The 15,571-nt window shown below is 49.8% G+C and overlaps 1 protein-coding gene and 1 long non-coding RNA gene across 19 annotated transcripts in view, besides 4 other annotated features; one reads left to right on the top strand and one right to left on the bottom strand.

Annotated features, from left to right (window-relative positions):
• Positions 1-27: 27 nt before the first annotated feature.
• LOC105372401 (uncharacterized) lies at positions 28-2,538 on the top strand. The gene is made up of 2 exons (XR_935968.4): positions 28-139; positions 252-2,538. It is a non-coding gene; the product is annotated as an uncharacterized LOC105372401 (long non-coding RNA).
• Positions 1,133-1,312: an enhancer, noted in NCBI's record as "active region_14673". NCBI's record gives its function as "activates an Ori minimal core promoter by ATAC-STARR-seq in GM12878 lymphoblastoid cells {active_cell/tissue: GM12878}" and the evidence as "EXISTENCE:reporter gene assay evidence [ECO:0000049][PMID:35858748]".
• The window catches only part of HNRNPUL1 (heterogeneous nuclear ribonucleoprotein U like 1), a 45,231-nt gene continuing 31,949 nt past the window's right edge, over positions 2,290-15,571 (bottom strand). For 8 of the 18 annotated variants that reach the window (NM_001439172.1, XM_011526395.4, XM_011526393.4 and 5 more), the window contains exons 10-15: positions 15,391-15,519; positions 8,373-8,541; positions 7,128-7,412; positions 5,816-6,105; positions 4,210-4,431; positions 2,290-3,628 (exon numbers count right to left, since the gene is read on the bottom strand). In NM_001439172.1, coding sequence (NP_001426101.1) covers positions 3,512-3,628; positions 4,210-4,431; positions 5,816-6,105; positions 7,128-7,412; positions 8,373-8,541; positions 15,391-15,519 — 1,212 coding nt within the window. In that variant the 3' untranslated portion in view covers positions 2,290-3,511. The remainder of the gene's footprint in view (positions 3,629-4,209; positions 4,432-5,815; positions 6,106-7,127; positions 7,413-8,372; positions 8,542-15,390; positions 15,520-15,571) is intronic. The other 10 variants (NM_144732.5, NM_007040.6, NM_001321208.2 and 7 more) reach the window with 3 other exon arrangements.
• Positions 7,097-7,436: an enhancer, noted in NCBI's record as "active region_14672". NCBI's record gives its function as "activates an Ori minimal core promoter by ATAC-STARR-seq in GM12878 lymphoblastoid cells {active_cell/tissue: GM12878}" and the evidence as "EXISTENCE:reporter gene assay evidence [ECO:0000049][PMID:35858748]".
• Positions 8,390-9,589: an enhancer, noted in NCBI's record as "BRD4-independent group 4 enhancer chr19:41806393-41807592 (GRCh37/hg19 assembly coordinates)". NCBI's record gives its function as "activates an origin of replication core promoter dependent on BRD2, P300/CBP, MED14 and CDK7 cofactors, and independent of BRD4, by STARR-seq in HCT116 cells {active_cell/tissue: HCT116}" and the evidence as "EXISTENCE:reporter gene assay evidence [ECO:0000049][PMID:35650434]".
• Positions 11,539-11,833: a silencer, noted in NCBI's record as "tiled region #15507; HepG2 Repressive non-DNase unmatched - State 14:Gen5'". NCBI's record gives its function as "represses a minimal TATA promoter and a strong SV40 promoter by Sharpr-MPRA in HepG2 cells {active_cell/tissue: HepG2}" and the evidence as "EXISTENCE:reporter gene assay evidence [ECO:0000049][PMID:27701403]".

The raw sequence follows: 15,571 nt of genomic DNA, 5'->3' as shown, positions 1-15,571 counted from the left end.
AACCTCTCCTGTCAGTCAGTAGGAACCAGAATCATTGTTCGTTTTATCACTGCTGTGACTCCAGCTCCCAGCGTGCTTAATTTTGGGATGGATGGCTAAAGGACTTTCCCCCGGAGCCTGGAGCCGTCATACGCTGAGGGTTCGTGCTCTCGTTTAGACCCCCGCTTGTCCTTTTCCTTTCTTAACTCCTTCAGGAATTCAGGAATATTACTAAGCCTTGACTCTTTTTTTTTTTTTTTTTTTTGAGACAGGGTCTCGCTTTGTCGCCTAGACGAATGCAGTGGCGCGATCACAGTTCAAGTAACCTCACATTCCTGTGCTCAAGTGATCCTCCTGCCTCAGCCTTTGGAGTACTTGGGACTACAGGCGCGCACAACCGCGCCCGGCTAATTTTTAAAATTTTTTTGTAGAGCCAGGGGTCCCACTTTGTTGCCCAGGCTAGTCCCCAACTCCTGGCCTCAAGCAATCCTCCCGCTTCAGCCTCTCAAAATGCTGGGATTACGCGCGTGAGCCACCAGCCTGGCTTACTTCCGTCATCATACCCTGTCTCTGGCTGGCATGAGATGGATAGTGAGATAGAACTTCCCATTTTGTGTTCCCAGGACCTGGAGGAAATCTACAGGTGTGAAACAAGACAACTCTGGTCCTTATTTCCCTATGGGATGGGTGGGGCTCTATTTAGGTGTTACCAGCAGAGTAGACAGACATGTCACTCAGTGGCCAGGGCTTTGATGGATCCAGAGGGCTGAGGGAGCTGTCCACCCCAGGCTGGAGGGTCAAGGAAGCCTTCTTTCTGGGAGGGTACCCTCAAGCTAAGACCTGAAGAACGAGTAGGAGCTGGGTTAAGAGGAAGGTAGGGAAGAGTCTTGAGGAGGATGGCACGTACGGACGGTTCTGGTTGCTGCAAGCACTTCACTACGGTCAGGGCATAGGAAAGGAGCTCTAACTTGAAAGCCATGATTGGGCTGTGGAGGTTTTGAGAACCTCATGAATTTTTATGCAAAATTCCATGTACCTCTGTATTCTCCAATGCAGTGGTTCATGGCATCATTTGTGGGTTCCAAAAAGGACTTATGGCTCCTCAGAACAAAATAAACACTGATTTGATATTCAAAGGGGGAGCAGAAAGAGAGGGCGCCAGCGATGTTACCAGGTGCTAGGCCATGCAGGGCCTCATAAGCCATAGTAAGTGGCTTGACCTCCTTTATTCTGAAGGGAGTGGGCATCAAGGGACTGGAGATGAGACGTGTGAGAAAAACTGGCTGAGAACAGAGGAAGAGCTTCCCCATTTGCATTCCCTTGAGGTCTGGAGTTGTGGAAGAAAGCCAAGGAGGTCCCTATTTACCAACCCAGATTCCTAGGCATTACCAGGAGAGGCCAGCAGAGGGCGCTGTAGCCCAGCATATGGACATGAAGGGAAGGGGACTTTCCAGACTAAAGGCCCTGCCACCTCCTCTCTGGCGCATTCTAGGGTCCCTTTTAGCCACCAACCTTGGTTCCTTCTCACGTTCTGATGCCCTACCCGAGATTCTGAGACTAGTCAGTTTCCCTCCCTTGTTTTTGTTGCCCATCTCCCCTTCACAAGGCTCTGAGCTCCCACCAGGGAAGATTGGGGCTGAATTGGCTTCTCCTGTGGCCCAGCATTGTCTCTCACAAGGAGCCAGGAACACAGCATGTATGAGGGAACGAAGACATAAGGTTGCTAAGGAAGGGGAAGATGGGCCATGGGGATGCAATCTGGAGTCTTTTACCCTGGCTCACTCCTCCAGGAAGCCCTCCCTGCACACCACCCCAGGCTCTCACAGCTGACCACTTGGTGCTGGCAGGTCTTTGTTCTCTCTGGAGTGGGAGCTCTGTGAGAACGGGGTCCAGGACTGCCGTGGCCATACTATGTCCCCAGCACTGTCCAGGACAGCTGAAGAACACAGCAGGTGGCTCACACACACTGGCTGAAACATGAAGCTCCTGGAATCCCCATGAGCCCCAAACACAGAACAGGCAGGAACTGTCCTCCGTGCTGCACACAGGCCAGGCCTGAGGCAGGTGGTCTGTGGATGCCCAGTGATGATGCCAAACAAACCAGCCCTGGTCTCTGCCCCATCAGTCCCACCCATCCCTCCACCTAGAGGCCTGTTCCATGTCCTTTACTCAAAAACTCCTGGAGGGATTTTAGACTGTGAGAGGTAGAGAACAAGAGAAGCACTTTAAAAATGAACTAGTGGATTTTAAACCAGGGACCCTTGTTTAAGCGTGCATTTTTAGCACCAAAATCGGGGCCAGGCACATGAATCCCTCAGTTAAGTTGTTTAATGAATGAGTAAATAATTTCCCTTTAAAGAGGCCCCCACCCCAATTAACGGCCAACTGCAGTAACACTTCAGGGTTTCAACCCTGCTTCCTTCCTGCTAGGAGGTGCCATGTCATTTATTCAAAGAAAACAAAACGAAACCAAACAAAACAGGGCAAACACATTTCTTAATAAGTGCAGTTTGTTAAAATCATGTTAAAACATATGAGTCAAGGGGAAGTAAAAATAAAGGGTATCACTGTAGGAAAAGCTTTTGGGTCTGGCACCTGGGAGACCACTGGAGAGGAGGCAGTGGGAGAAACTTCAAGTTCTGAAGGGAAGGAGCCCCCCAACCTCCCCTTCTTCCCTCTCACCCACTGAATCCCACCAGAAACTACCAAGACGCCCGGAATAAAAGGTTTCAAGTTCAATAGTCACTCTCTCCAAATACAAAAAGCAGTTACAATTCAACTGAACACAGAAGCTTGTGTGCAAAGTTATGGGGAACTGGGGCATCGTATAAAAAGTTGGGTTAAAGATGATTCTGTGGTTTGGTTTTGTTGTGTTTTGTTTTGTGGCTCTTCCTCAGTCACCTGAACTCAGGAAAGAAATGCTTATCTTGATGAAATATCAACAGCCCACCCACAGTAAAAAGACAAATTCTAAAAATTAAAAAAAAGCGCATAATTACCAAAAAAAAGTCACTGCTTCCTCCCCCTCCCCATTTTGCTTTTTAAACTTTTTTTTTTTTAAGTTTTGATTTTTTTTTTAATCCTGAAAAGTAGACAGTAAAACAGCTCCTGGGAGAATTTACAACCAACTGCATGAGGGTCTGGGAAGCTGAGGGGCTGGAGCAGGGTTGGGAGAGTGAACAGGAGGGGATTCTCCCCTCAGTCACTGTAGCCTCACTGTATGATCAAGGGAGGTGGGGATTATTTAGTCAAAAAGGAAGAAGGTAGGAAGAACAGGAGGTGGAAGGCTGGGGAGGTGGGGACAAACAGAAAATAAAAGGTCATTGTTGCCTGTTTGAATCCAGAAAAAAATGCCTGGCCCTATGGAGGGGAAGGAAGCCCCTCAGAGGGGAGGCAGTGGGCTGGAGGGAGGCAGCCCTGGGATGACCCCATCCCCAGCACCACGGGATCTGGCGGGGGCAGAGGAGGGGCCGAGGCAGGCGCTGGTGGAGGAAGCCGGCAGGGGCCTCCGGGAGCCTCTGGGTCACACTGGCTACTGTGTACTTGTGCCACCCTGTGTGTTCCCGGAGTAGCTCCCGTAGTCGTAGTTCCCGTAGTATGGCGGCCACTGGCCCTGGTTCTGATAGTACTGGTTCCACTGCTGGGCATACTGGGGAAAGAAACCAAGAACACCAAGTTGTCCTGCATCCACCACACATTTAGCCTCCCCACCAGCCCCACCCTCACCTAGGGCAGAGACAGCTGCAGTGACAACAGTTGAACACAGGTCCCCTGACAGAGAAATCAAGGCACCTTGGAAAGACCTGACACCACACAGGTAGGCAGTTAGGGACTGAAGCCCAGGTCTCAGCTTGTCAACCCAGTGCCTTTTGGGTATAGCTAGATATCATAGTCAAAAGATTTAGTAACAGGTATGGGGGCCTGGGCACCAACCTGCAGCAGGATTTGGAGCCCCCTGTCTATGGTGCTGAAAGAGGACTCTGAGGCCCCTGGTACTTAGGCCAGCCCTTCCCCTTCACTTGCTAGACTGTGGAGGGGGCTAGGATACCAATTACCTAGCAACCAGTGCAGAAGTGTTGACCAAATGGAATGGCTGCACCAGATGAACGCCAGGCCGAGGCCAGCAGGCTGTCTTTTTAGGGATAAGCAGGGACTTAAGTCTGGGAATACACACCCAGGAGGGGCCCATGGAAGTCTCTCCATCCAGTTGGCCCCCAGTCTGGCACCTACCTGCTGATACTGGTTATAGCTGGGCTGAGGGTAGGTCTGTGCAGTGGGGGGTGGCGGTGGGGTATAGGGGGCCGGGTTGTAACCGCCGTAGCTCCCATAGTTGTAGGCAGGTGGTGGTGGAGGTGGAGGCGGTGGGGCTGTGTAGCCCTGGCTGTAACCTCCCTGGTTGTAGGGTGGCTGGCTGTAACTCGGCTGGAAAGTGGAGGGAAAAAAGCCAAAGCTCTGTGAAATAGAGGAAATCTGCAGATGTGAAATGCTGGGATGGAAAAAGGGCCTTTTTAAGTGGTTGGCCCACAGGGGCCCTTCCCTTGCCTAGTGGACATTGTTTGTGGGCTGAGAAGGAGGAGAGCCAGCTCCATGCCATGGTAGGGCAGGATGAAGGGCAAGCCCCAGGGCTGTGATGTGGACTCTAACCCCAGCTCTGAGACCCCCAGGGAGCAAGGTACACGGCACTTCTTGAAATCTCAGTTTTCTTTTTTATAAAATGAGAATCACAATAGAACAAGAACAACTCCTTTAGCTTGCCCTGGGTATCCAATAAGCTTGTGTGTATAAACCACTGGGTACTCAACAGGTGGTGGTAGTTGTTACTGGAAGATCTGCTGAGAAACAGTAGTGGCAATTGACTAAGTGCTTCCCAAGTACAGGTTGGATCATTACATCATATAATCTCCATATAGAACCTAGGGGTAGGTCCCACTAGCCCCATTTTAAAGAGAAAGAAACTGAGGCTCAAGATGAAATTTCTGGGCCAAGGAAAAAGGACTTGACCCCAGGTCTGCCTAGTCCCAGAGCTATAGTGCCACCCATTCCTCACAACAAACCTTGGAAGGGACTTCTACTAACACCTTTATGAGGAAAATGAGGCCCAGAGACGGGAAGCTATTTGTCCAAGCTCACAGAAACAGGATGTTGTGGGGCTGGGGGTTTGGATCTGTGCCTGCCCAACTCTTGTTCTAAGAAATATTCTAGTTAGCTGGGCCTGGGAACCATCCATTGGTCTCCTGGCAGCTGATTCCAGGCCCGGCATGAGGAAAGTGCTTGGGAAATGGCTGTGCGATAACTGAAAACCTCTCTGGTTTACAGGAGCCTGTGCATACCAGAGCCAGGGCACTGGCTTTCCAAGAATGGGAACTGAGCCTGGAGCTGCTCAGGATTGAAGCTCTCTGTGCAGAGGGCAAGTCCTCAGCAACCTTAGTGCCCTGGTTATTATGTCCAAAAGACAAAGAGGTCAGCCAGCCTGGGCAAGGGGTGACTCCAGTCAAGTGCTTTCTTGGGGATTTAGTGAGGTTAGTGACACTAGCCAAGAATAATGTACTTGCTGGAGGGATCAGTGCTTACAGCCCATCCCCTTGAGGGTGGTGGGAGAAGAGCAGGTTCTGGGAAGGTCTACATTTACTCCTGGGTTTGGAGGGGATCTGGGAATGTGTAGGGTCCATCTGAGTCAAGATCACGGCCAGGGAGAAAGAAGGGCAGGCTAGAGGTTAGAGTGAAGACCAGTAGCTGGGGCATGTGTTGATTTCCCCAGATCCGCCTCCACCTAACTTGCTCAGGTTCAAAAGCACACGTGCGATCACTACATACAAACACACACTCATTCTCTCACCTGTGGAGGGCTGTAGCTGCTGACGGTGGGGGTGCTGGTATTGGCGCTTGAGCCAGGGATGTTGCTGTTCTTATTGTAGGTGCTGGCCCCTGGGGGGTTCCGAGCAGGGCTGTAGCTGGGTGGTGGCGGTGGCTGCTGGGGTGGTGGCTGTGGTGGCGGAGGCTGCTGTGGTGGCGGCTGTTGCTGGGGAGCCCGGTTGTAGCTGCCTCTGTTGTTGGAGTTGTTGTTATCCCGGTTGTTGTTACCCCAGCGGTTCTGGCTATAGCCACCACCTCCGCTGCGGTTGAAACCTGTGTTGGAGAAATCCAGATGAAAGGCGCCATCATTCCCAAATGGCAACCCCAGGGAACTGGGTTGTCTTGGTGACTACTGTGAGCCGGCATGGCCAGGCGCAGAGCAAGAACTCAAGGTGAACAACAAAGCATGTCCTCTGGGATTCTCTAGACCCCCGGGCATACTCCCCTGTCCCAGCCCTTATGACAGGTTTGTCTCATTCACTGGACTGCAAGAATGGTGAGGCAGAGACCAAGGCAGTCCTGGGTTTCTGTGTCCCAGCATCTCAATAGCTGTTGAATATGCAGGAAGGAGATGCTCAAGGAGAGGAAGCTGGCAGGGTGCGGTGGCTCACATCTGTAATCCTAGCACTCTGGGAGGCTAAGGCGGGTGGACCACGTGAGGTCAGGAGTTCAAGACCAGCCTGACCAACATGGAGAAACCCCATCTCTACTAAAAATACAAAATTAGCCGGGCGTGGTGGTGCTTGCCTACAATCCCAGCTACTCAGGAGACTGAGGCGAGAGAATCGCTTGAATGCCGGGAGGCAGAGGTTGCAGTGAGCCGAGATTACACCATTGCACTCTAGCCTGGGCAACAAGAGCAAAACTCCGTCTCAAAAAAAAAAAAAAAAAAAATGAGAGGAAGCTAAGCACTGGTGACAGCCATGAACGAGTCACATCTAGTCCTCTTCAGACCTGGCCAAAGATGTAGCCCCCATTTCCAATAGATTTTGATCTAGATCCTATTTCCAAGGAGCTCATGGTCAGATGGGGGAAGGTTCACAAAAATGACAGCAATGTGACAGAATGTGCACTGTGATATGCAAATGGGCAAAGGGCTTCATAACCAGCGTCCAGGGAGTGGGAAAGTGGGAGCGTTTCTGAGGTCTCCGTGTCTGACTTGTTTCAAGTTTTCTACCAGAGTATAACTCACAGCTGGAGCTCAGAAAACTTCAGTTGCTGATTGAATAAGCAGTCAAAGCCCAGCCCCAACCTGGGAACAGAAAGTGGAGAGTGCTGTGTGTGAGATGTCTCACCTCCTCGGTAGTTGCCTCCTCCACCGCTGCCTCCCCCTCGGTTCTGGAAGCCGCCACGGTTGCCTCCAGGGGGTCCTCGGTTTTCATAGCGCTGGAAGCCACCACCACCCCCGCGGCCCCGGAAGCCACCACCACCTCGGTTGTCAAAGCGCTTTTCAGGGGGTGGCCCAGCCTTGCGGCCTTCCTCGTTGTACTGCCTCACTAGCTTGTCCGCTTCCTCCCGCTGCAGCTCAATGAACAGAACCTCATCCAGGAAGTCCCCAACATCTGGCAACGTGAAGTTGGCTAGGAGGAAGGAAGTGCCCCAAAGAGAACAAGAAGAAGAGGTCAGTACCTTCTGAAGTCTGGTCCCCTCCACCCAGAAGAGTGGCCTTCCAGAAGGGAGAAGGTGAAGAAAACTGGAATAGTGAATAAGAAAGACATAGACAGAAGGGCGGGCGCGGTGGCTCACGCCTGTAATCCCAGCACTTTGGGAGGCCGAGGCGGGTGGATCACCTGAGGTCAGGAGTTCAAGACCAGCCTGGCCAACATGGCAAAACCCCATCTCTACTAAAAATACAAAAATTAGCCAGGCATGGTGGTGGACACCTGTAGTCCCAGCTACTCGGGAGGCTGAGGCAGGAGAACTGGGTGAACTCAGGAGGCGGAGGTTGCGGTGAGCCAAGATCGCACCACTATACTCCAGCCTGGGTGACAGGGCAAGACTCCCTCTCCAAAAAAAAAAAAAAAAAAAAACAGAGAGAGAGAGAAAGAGGTAGACAAAGCCCCAACCCCTCAGCCTGCTAAGTGTCAGGGGCTAACAAAGACTCCTCCGTTTTCTGAAGAGGTGGCTAAGACCCACCTAGACACAGTGCACAGCTCCCTCAGGCCTCACCCCAGGGAATGGGTCAGACAGATGGCATCACCATCCCTATATTTACAGAGAAACAAACTGAGGCCTGCCCACAGTCAGCCCATCTGGGACCAGAGGCAGGGTGAGCACACAGGACTTTCAGCTTTAGCTCCCATACATCCTTTCCCTTGTGCTGCCCCAGCCCCATCCAGCCTGAAAACCCCAACATAAGACAGATGGGTAGCTTTTCCATTCACAGCTGTGGTAGACAAGGAAGGGACAAAGCAGAAGCAAAGAAAGAGTAAGATCAAAAAAGAAATCACTGGGGAGCCAGGGAAGGACAAACTGAGTAAAGAGCTTCTTCTCTCCAGGACCCTGCATTGACGTTCCTCTGGGAAGCACTCATTTCCTACCTTTCATTTCTAAGACCGCATGATCTGGGACATCCTTCCCTTCCTCGTCGGTTCGCTTTATTGTTCGGTCTTTTAGGTCCTCGTCAGTGGGACAAATTACAATAGCTTTGCGCTGGAAGCCTTCAAATGGTCTCATTTTTCGTCTCTGGGCTGACCCATAAACATTTGTCTAAGGGTAAGGTAACAGAAGAGGCAAGAGATGGTACATTAAGAGTTGGTTTTTTCCTCTGAGGGGTATTATGTAGGCCAGGGACTGAGAAAAGGATATCAGTGCTCCTTGTAAGCAGAGAAACTCAGGAAACAGCTCTTCTTTACTTAGAAGATTCTTGAGTCACCCTCAGCAAATGAATTGACTTAGGTAAGTGGCTGCAGACAGGCACAGGGCAAAGGATTCCTAATGGTTGGGACTTTGCTTTTTAATCCTATTTGTTCTTGGTACTGGACCTTACAATTTCTTTTCCCTATTCTAAAAGCTAATACATACTCTTGGTAAAAAAATTCACAGTATAAGGCATAAAGTTTAGAGGAAAAACCCCTGTGTTCCCTTAGTGCCAGCCCTACTTCCCAGAGAGAATGAAGAATGAATTTCTTCCGTGCACTTTTAGAAATATCTATGTGATTTTTTTACACAAAAAGAATTGTATTATGCACATCCTCCTGAGGCTTTTTCATGTAACGTGAAACTTTCTCTGAAGTTTTTCTGTGCAGTATTCTTTTTTAATGGCTGTGTAATACCTATAGATTAGCTATGCTACTAATTAACCAGCTCCTTTGGACAGTTTTGTAGTTTGTTCTTATTAACATTGGTTCTTTTATTCCCTCAGTCCTTCTCTGAAACATCAGCCTCACCCACAAGCTTCTAACCAGCAAGCTCTACACATCAGGAGACTCTGCTTTTCGCAAGTGCAGTTTTGCTCCTAATGTTTCCTTCCCTTCCTCTAAGTGATGGCAGGTGTGTCCTGGGCTGGTGCTGGCAGAGCGGTGCTCTAGCACATATGTGGTTGAGAGCAGTAACAACATCGGCTTCCATTTACCGAACACCTCCTTCATGTCGGGCCCTTTGGGAATGGGGCCTACCTCTGTTGGATTCAGGGTTCCATAGACTCAGCCTGTATACTTGAATCACGAGGACACTACTTAAAAAGTGAGCAGCTCAAACTTCATTTGAGACTTCCTGAGCCTGAACCTCTAGAAGTAAGACCCAGGCACCTATACAGGTACCCTCCCTATGGAAACTCAGGAACTCAGCAGAAACGGAGTAAGGAGTTTTTAACTGCATTTAAACAATTTTTTAGTGGCTCTAATAGGGACCCAAGAAAGAAGCCACAGATGGGGAAAACAGTCTGTAAAGGGGTATATACAAATGGACCAAAAAAAAAAAAATGTATTCTGAAGATGTGGCCTGCTTGGGTGCAAAGAGTCTAGGGTCAAGTCCTGGTGTGGCTACTAACATACCTTGGCCAGTCCTTATAGTTGCCTCATCTGTAATACGGGGTTGAAAAGCCTCCCTCCCTGGGCTGGCAAGGACTGAGTAAGAGAATGTCCATAAAGCAATTGACAAAGTGCAAGAAACTACTCAAGTAGGGGGACACAGGTGGCCTCCAGGGCAGAAGACACCTTGACAGGAAGCGGGCAGTGCACTGGGATGGCCCAGCCTCAGCCTGCTCCTCTGTAAAATCAAGCCCTGAAAAGGGAAAACGGCATGGATGTCTTAGGGTTGCTGTGAGGACTGAATGAGTCCACGTGAGTAAAAGCCCTCGTCTAAGCCCAGGCCCTGGCTCATAGCCAACACTCAACAACTGTGAGCTGCCATTGATGTGGTCATCACTGGGTAGATATTTATACTGTCATGTTGACTTGAAGCAACTCAGACCAAAGAAAAGGTTAAGCTTATAGTGACCTCCCAAGCAGAAAAGCAGGAACAGTGAGACAGGGTGGAATGAACACAGGCTTTGGGGAAGAAACTTGGGCTTGAAATCCCCGCTGTGCCCTTTACTATTTGTGAGACTCAGACAAGTCCCCAAGTAGCCTGAGTCTCAAATTTCCTCGTCTGAAAGACAAGGATCATCACCCTCGTCCTGGCTCTGGAGAGCATTTGCAGATGTAAAAATCTCTGGCTAGTGCCAAAGGAGTGGGCAGTGAAAAGTCAACACCCAGAGTGGATCTGAAAATAAGACCTACAGGACTGACTATCCAGGAGAGGCTTCCCAATGGAAAATACCAAGGAAAATTGAAGCTTGAGGAAAAAACAAGGTTTCAAGAGATCGTCTTCTAAGACATAGGAACAGGGTGCTGGATGTGGATTAGCCAGGGGCCAAGGACTCCAGCACAAATCTGCTGGAAGTTCTGGGGCCGTGGGTGCAGTTGCTTAAACTAACCAGATCCTCTGGCCCTGAAACACGCGCCAGGAAAAAATGTTCTTCCCTGTCCCCCAGGGAAAGTGTCCCTACCCTCACGAAGGAGGATGTGGGCAGTCATGTGGGTGACAGGCACACACATACTGTTCTTGGGGTCTTGGACACCGGCCCACAAAGAGCACTTGGGCCACAAATGGTTTGAAAAGGAACATCATGTTACAGAGGAAAAGTTAAGTCCCCTCTCCCCACTACTCTTCTTTGACTCCATTCCTAAAACCAAAGCAGAACGTGGCATCTGGTCATAGGAAGAAAGAGTTTGGCTTCCTCAGCTAAATATAATTTTCTTCTGACACAAAAGCTCAGAGTAGGTAGGTGCCAGGGTGAATATGGCCCCAGACCATTCTGCATTTTTTTTTTTTTGCCCCTAAGTGATCCTACTTTGATTCCTCTGAACTGCGAGGGCATGGAGTGACAGTCCTGGAGGTCTTCCATGTGGTACAACTGCCCTGTCAATGTCCTGATGAGGGGACAGAGAAGAGAAGCAATGCTGCCAAGACGGCTAGCCCCTGCAGCTTCATGGGATGAGAGGAATGGAGGTGGAGCAGATTGGACTTATAAATAGCTGGCCTTTGTCCTTGGAAGTGGGTAGACTCAGAGATGGCTTCTCAGGCACTTTGGAATTGAGGTGCTGAGAATCAACTCAGCAGTGGTTTTTAAGACTGCACCTCCCTCCACTTACTCCTTCGTTTGGGGAAGGGAAGAAGAGTATCTAAACCACACCAGCAGAAATGCAAATACTTGGCTTTCCTGGAGGAAAGGGAATTAGCTGCTGGTGGCTGTTGCCACAGCAAACACAGTGAGGTCACAGCCCCTGGGCCAGCCCAGCACTTCTGTGGTCGCTGGGGGCTGCTGGCAGCTGTTGCTATGAGACCAGCACAACAGCTAGGTCAGCTTTTCCAGCTGCTTTGGTTCCCTCTGCCTAGCTTCTGCTTCTCCCAGTCCCACCCTGCTTGAAGATGTTGATTCCAAGAGAAAATGTGGCTGTCTGTGTTCCCTGAACCCTGTGACATGGACTAAGGGACAAGAGTTGGGTTTCTCAGAGAAGCTATATGGGGAGTTTTGGTGTATAACAGTCTGAGGGAGGGAGGAGGGAACACAGCAGGTACGAATGATGATGTGACAGCCCAGGATCTCTCAAGCCCCACTGTCCCTGTCTACTCTCACTTGTCACAGCTCACCAGGGTCATACTGGCAGCAGGAGAAACCTAGCTAGATCTGAGGAGCAAAGTGAAGGCTGATGAGGAAAGATTTACTTTGGGCTCAGAGTGAGGTGAATTCCAGTCAAAAGAACCACATTTATAGGAAGAGAACTGGCTGGTGTGTCAAGAATGGAATGGGCTTCAGGCTCTAGGGATGGCTGGCTGGGGATGAAGGAAAGAAACATCCTTCCTCCAAGGCCTGCAAATAAGACACAGGTTACGGTGGGAGACTATTCTAGCCCTGGGTTTCTGTTTCAGGCGAAAGTGTGGCACCTGCTGACCAGGATGCAAATGAGGACTAGAACGACATGTTCTGACTGTGACGTCAACCCATCCAGCCCTGATTCTAACTGATGCCTGGCCTGGCTCTAGCTGTTAGAGCCCTCTAACGGAACTCCCAGGCAACAGTGCCCTACTCTGGGGTGGGCTTGGGCAACATGGCCCTGCGGAGGCTCCCCAGAAGCCTCCAGAAAGGCAACTTGTTTGCCTCACAGCAGGCCAGTCAGTTCCTGTTCTGTACTCCATTTTGAGGCCCTCTGGGACAAGGCCAGAAAGCATCTCATTCCAGAGGCTTCCCACCTCCAACAGAGGACCCCAAAGAGACACCTGAAGCAATGTGGCCTTCTACTCCACCTTTCTCTCTCCTCTGCAGCCTTTTACTAGCCAGGCAAATTTATCCACATTCCTCCGGATGAAAACCTAACCATGACTCCCCACTCTCCTCAGGACAAAGCCCCAACTCTTTTAATCATCCTCTGTGCCCCGACTCAGACATTCCACCTCCAGAAAGCTTCCCCAAATTCCCACCATGGCCCCAACCATTCTAGACTATGGCTGTTTGGGAAGTCAGCAGAGCTGTGATCTATCAGTACACTGAGTGCGTGACTTAGCAGTCCTATAGTCCTCTGCAGAGGCTTCAGCTTCCTCTCTGGTCTACCTCTTTTTCCTCTTCTGATGTTCCACAGCTGTGATGCCCACATCATCTCAAAAGGCTACTCAGGTTATCACAGAATGTAGGTCAAAGCCCCGATATACCTGAGAGTTTGTGCCCAATCACATACATCCCAGGGTAGGAGTTAGAGTCCTGGCCAGACAAACACAGAATCCTGGCTTACAAAGGCCCACCTGGCTTCTGCAGACAACCTCTCCTTCCCTCTCAAGGATGAGCATTTCTAAGGCCAACCTACATAACAGGAGGCTGGAAGAGCCAAATCTGGGGAGATCTGACCACTCAGGAAAAACCAGTAAAGGCAAAAGATGGTTCTGGGCTGAGATCCAGGAACTGCAGGGATTTTGCCTGTAGTATGGGTTTCCCCTTTGGAAATTCCACCTAGCCCAGGAGACAGCTATGCATCATCAACTTACCTGTCACCGCCAAAGCTGGTGGAATGGAAGTGCCAGGATTGGCCAGGGGCCTGCTCTGAACCCTCTATACACAAACACACAACTTCCCCCTCCCTCTTTCTCATACCCAGAGTTTTCTGGAACCCACTTTTGGGGTTTAGGCCAAAACAGGTGAAACCACTGGCTTTACAATCCCTCCCTCAGCCTGAGTAGCCTATGGCTTCAGGCCCCGAGGCAATCCTCCAATCTGTGGTTAACCAGAGAACCCTCCTCCCCAGCCTTCAGAGTTTAGGTTCTCTGTCTCATTGTTGGCCAAGATCTCTTGGCCTGACCCACATGTCCCTTAAGCAGGAGGCTGGTAGCCCTGAAGACCACAGGCATACCTGGTACAGCCCTAGACCCTGTCCCTGAACAAGCCAGCAGCAGCCAAGAAGGCTGACAGTAGGTCTTCAGAGTGCAAAGCTGTCATGGGCCTGGCTTCCAGAGAAAACCCACTTCAGCATCCTGGACAGAGATGTTAGACGATCCACTCTAGACTATAATCATTCTCCCCTAGGCCACATATTTGAAATGAGTTTCACAGCTGATTTAACCAGCAAACCAAGAAAAAGACAGGGAGGAATACTGGCTAGGGTATCCAAAAGAGGTATGTATCCTCAGAGTGTTAAAATGGTATTACTGCTCTCCCTTTCACGACAATGAGTCCAACTGGGGTCAATACAGACTAAAAAAATTCTTGAATGCCCCGACAAGGAGGATCAGGTAAAGTGAGGCCAAGGGTTTAAAAGACAAATCTTCAAAGCGGAGAGAACACTGATTGTACACAATATGAGCTGGGGGGATAACCACGGATGGCTTTTAGACTATCCTGTGCTCAACTGTTTTGTGTAGGATCCTCATTCCTATGTGAAGGCAACTCGGTCTCTGGCGATTCCTTTCTAACAAGCAAACTACCATTCTGACAAAGCCAAACGCTGTCCCCACCTCCACTCTTATCAGGAGCCCTTTGAACTCATGGTCACCAAGTATCCAGGCCTACACGTATGGAAGGCACTTCAGGAAGGCTACAAGGGCAGGGTGTTACTTAGTTTACATATTTGCTCACTCACAGGTTCTTAAGAAAGCACAAATGCAAGGCTGAAGGGAACAGAGGCTCATTCACAGATCCCCAAACATAGAAAATAAGGAGACACCCTTTGTTACTTGTGAAAGCCTTCAGGACAAATGTCAATAGGCAATGACGTTGCATAGGCAATAACCATGTGGAACTCATTACTCTGAGACAGGAATCTGTAATGATTTTTGGGTCACTCATCCTTTTGAGAATGCTGAAAGATAGGGACAAAAAACTGTTTTTTTTTCCCTTCTTTTTCATAAAAAGGATACACCTGCAGCTGCATACAATATTTATGTTCAAATACAAAGGTTCCAAGGTCCCTGATGTTAAGAACTCCACCATTAACTGAAGTGTAGGTAGAAAATATGACTTAGGTATGTACCTGCCAGTCATACGTATTTGTGAAGAGAAAATGACGGAAGCAATAATAGCATTTACCTTACAGCACTGCTGTTGGCATGAAAGCTACTCTACCTATTCTGTAGAGTATTTAACAATAATCACCAGCTACTAAGTGCCAGGTCCTGCGTTAGGGGTGCAGATGGTATTGAGATCCCTGTTTTACAAACCAAGAGATGGAGATTCAGAGAATAAAGTCAGCTGCCCAAAGGCACAGAGCTAGGGAGTAGCCGAGCTGGCATTCAAGCTCCAGTCTCTCAGGCTTGGAAATCCATACTCCTTCCATTTTGCTAAACAGTTCTTACCTGATGTTCTTTGGGGCTGCTGATGAGTCTGAGTAAGTAGGCCTAGATCATGATCCCAGTCCAGGCTCAGCTGTGTGTAGTACCATGTCATCATGTATGACAAGGTCTGACCCCCCCGACTAGCACAGCAGTCCATCATCATTACGGGGGAAAAAAGAAAGGGACCAGAGGGAGATTCTCAGGCATGCAAGGGGTCCCCTCCCTTCTCCTGAGGACACAATGGTCATCATTAAGTACCTGATCTAGGATATAGTTGCGTTTCTTGCGGGCAGCAATCTGGATGAGGCGGTTGAGGCACTGGGTGGCCTGCTGGATCAGGACATCCCAGCGGCCAGCATAGTTCCGCTGCCGGCGTAGGCCCATCACCTGCGGGCAGGAATTGGTGAGGGGTGAGTGATTTTAGTTGCAGGGCAGCACT

Source organism: Homo sapiens, chromosome 19 (genome assembly GCF_000001405.40).
Source record: "Homo sapiens chromosome 19, GRCh38.p14 Primary Assembly".
NCBI lineage: Eukaryota > Metazoa > Chordata > Mammalia > Primates > Hominidae > Homo > Homo sapiens.
Note: the sequence above shows the minus strand (reverse complement) of the source record. Positions and strands in the feature narration are given on the sequence as shown.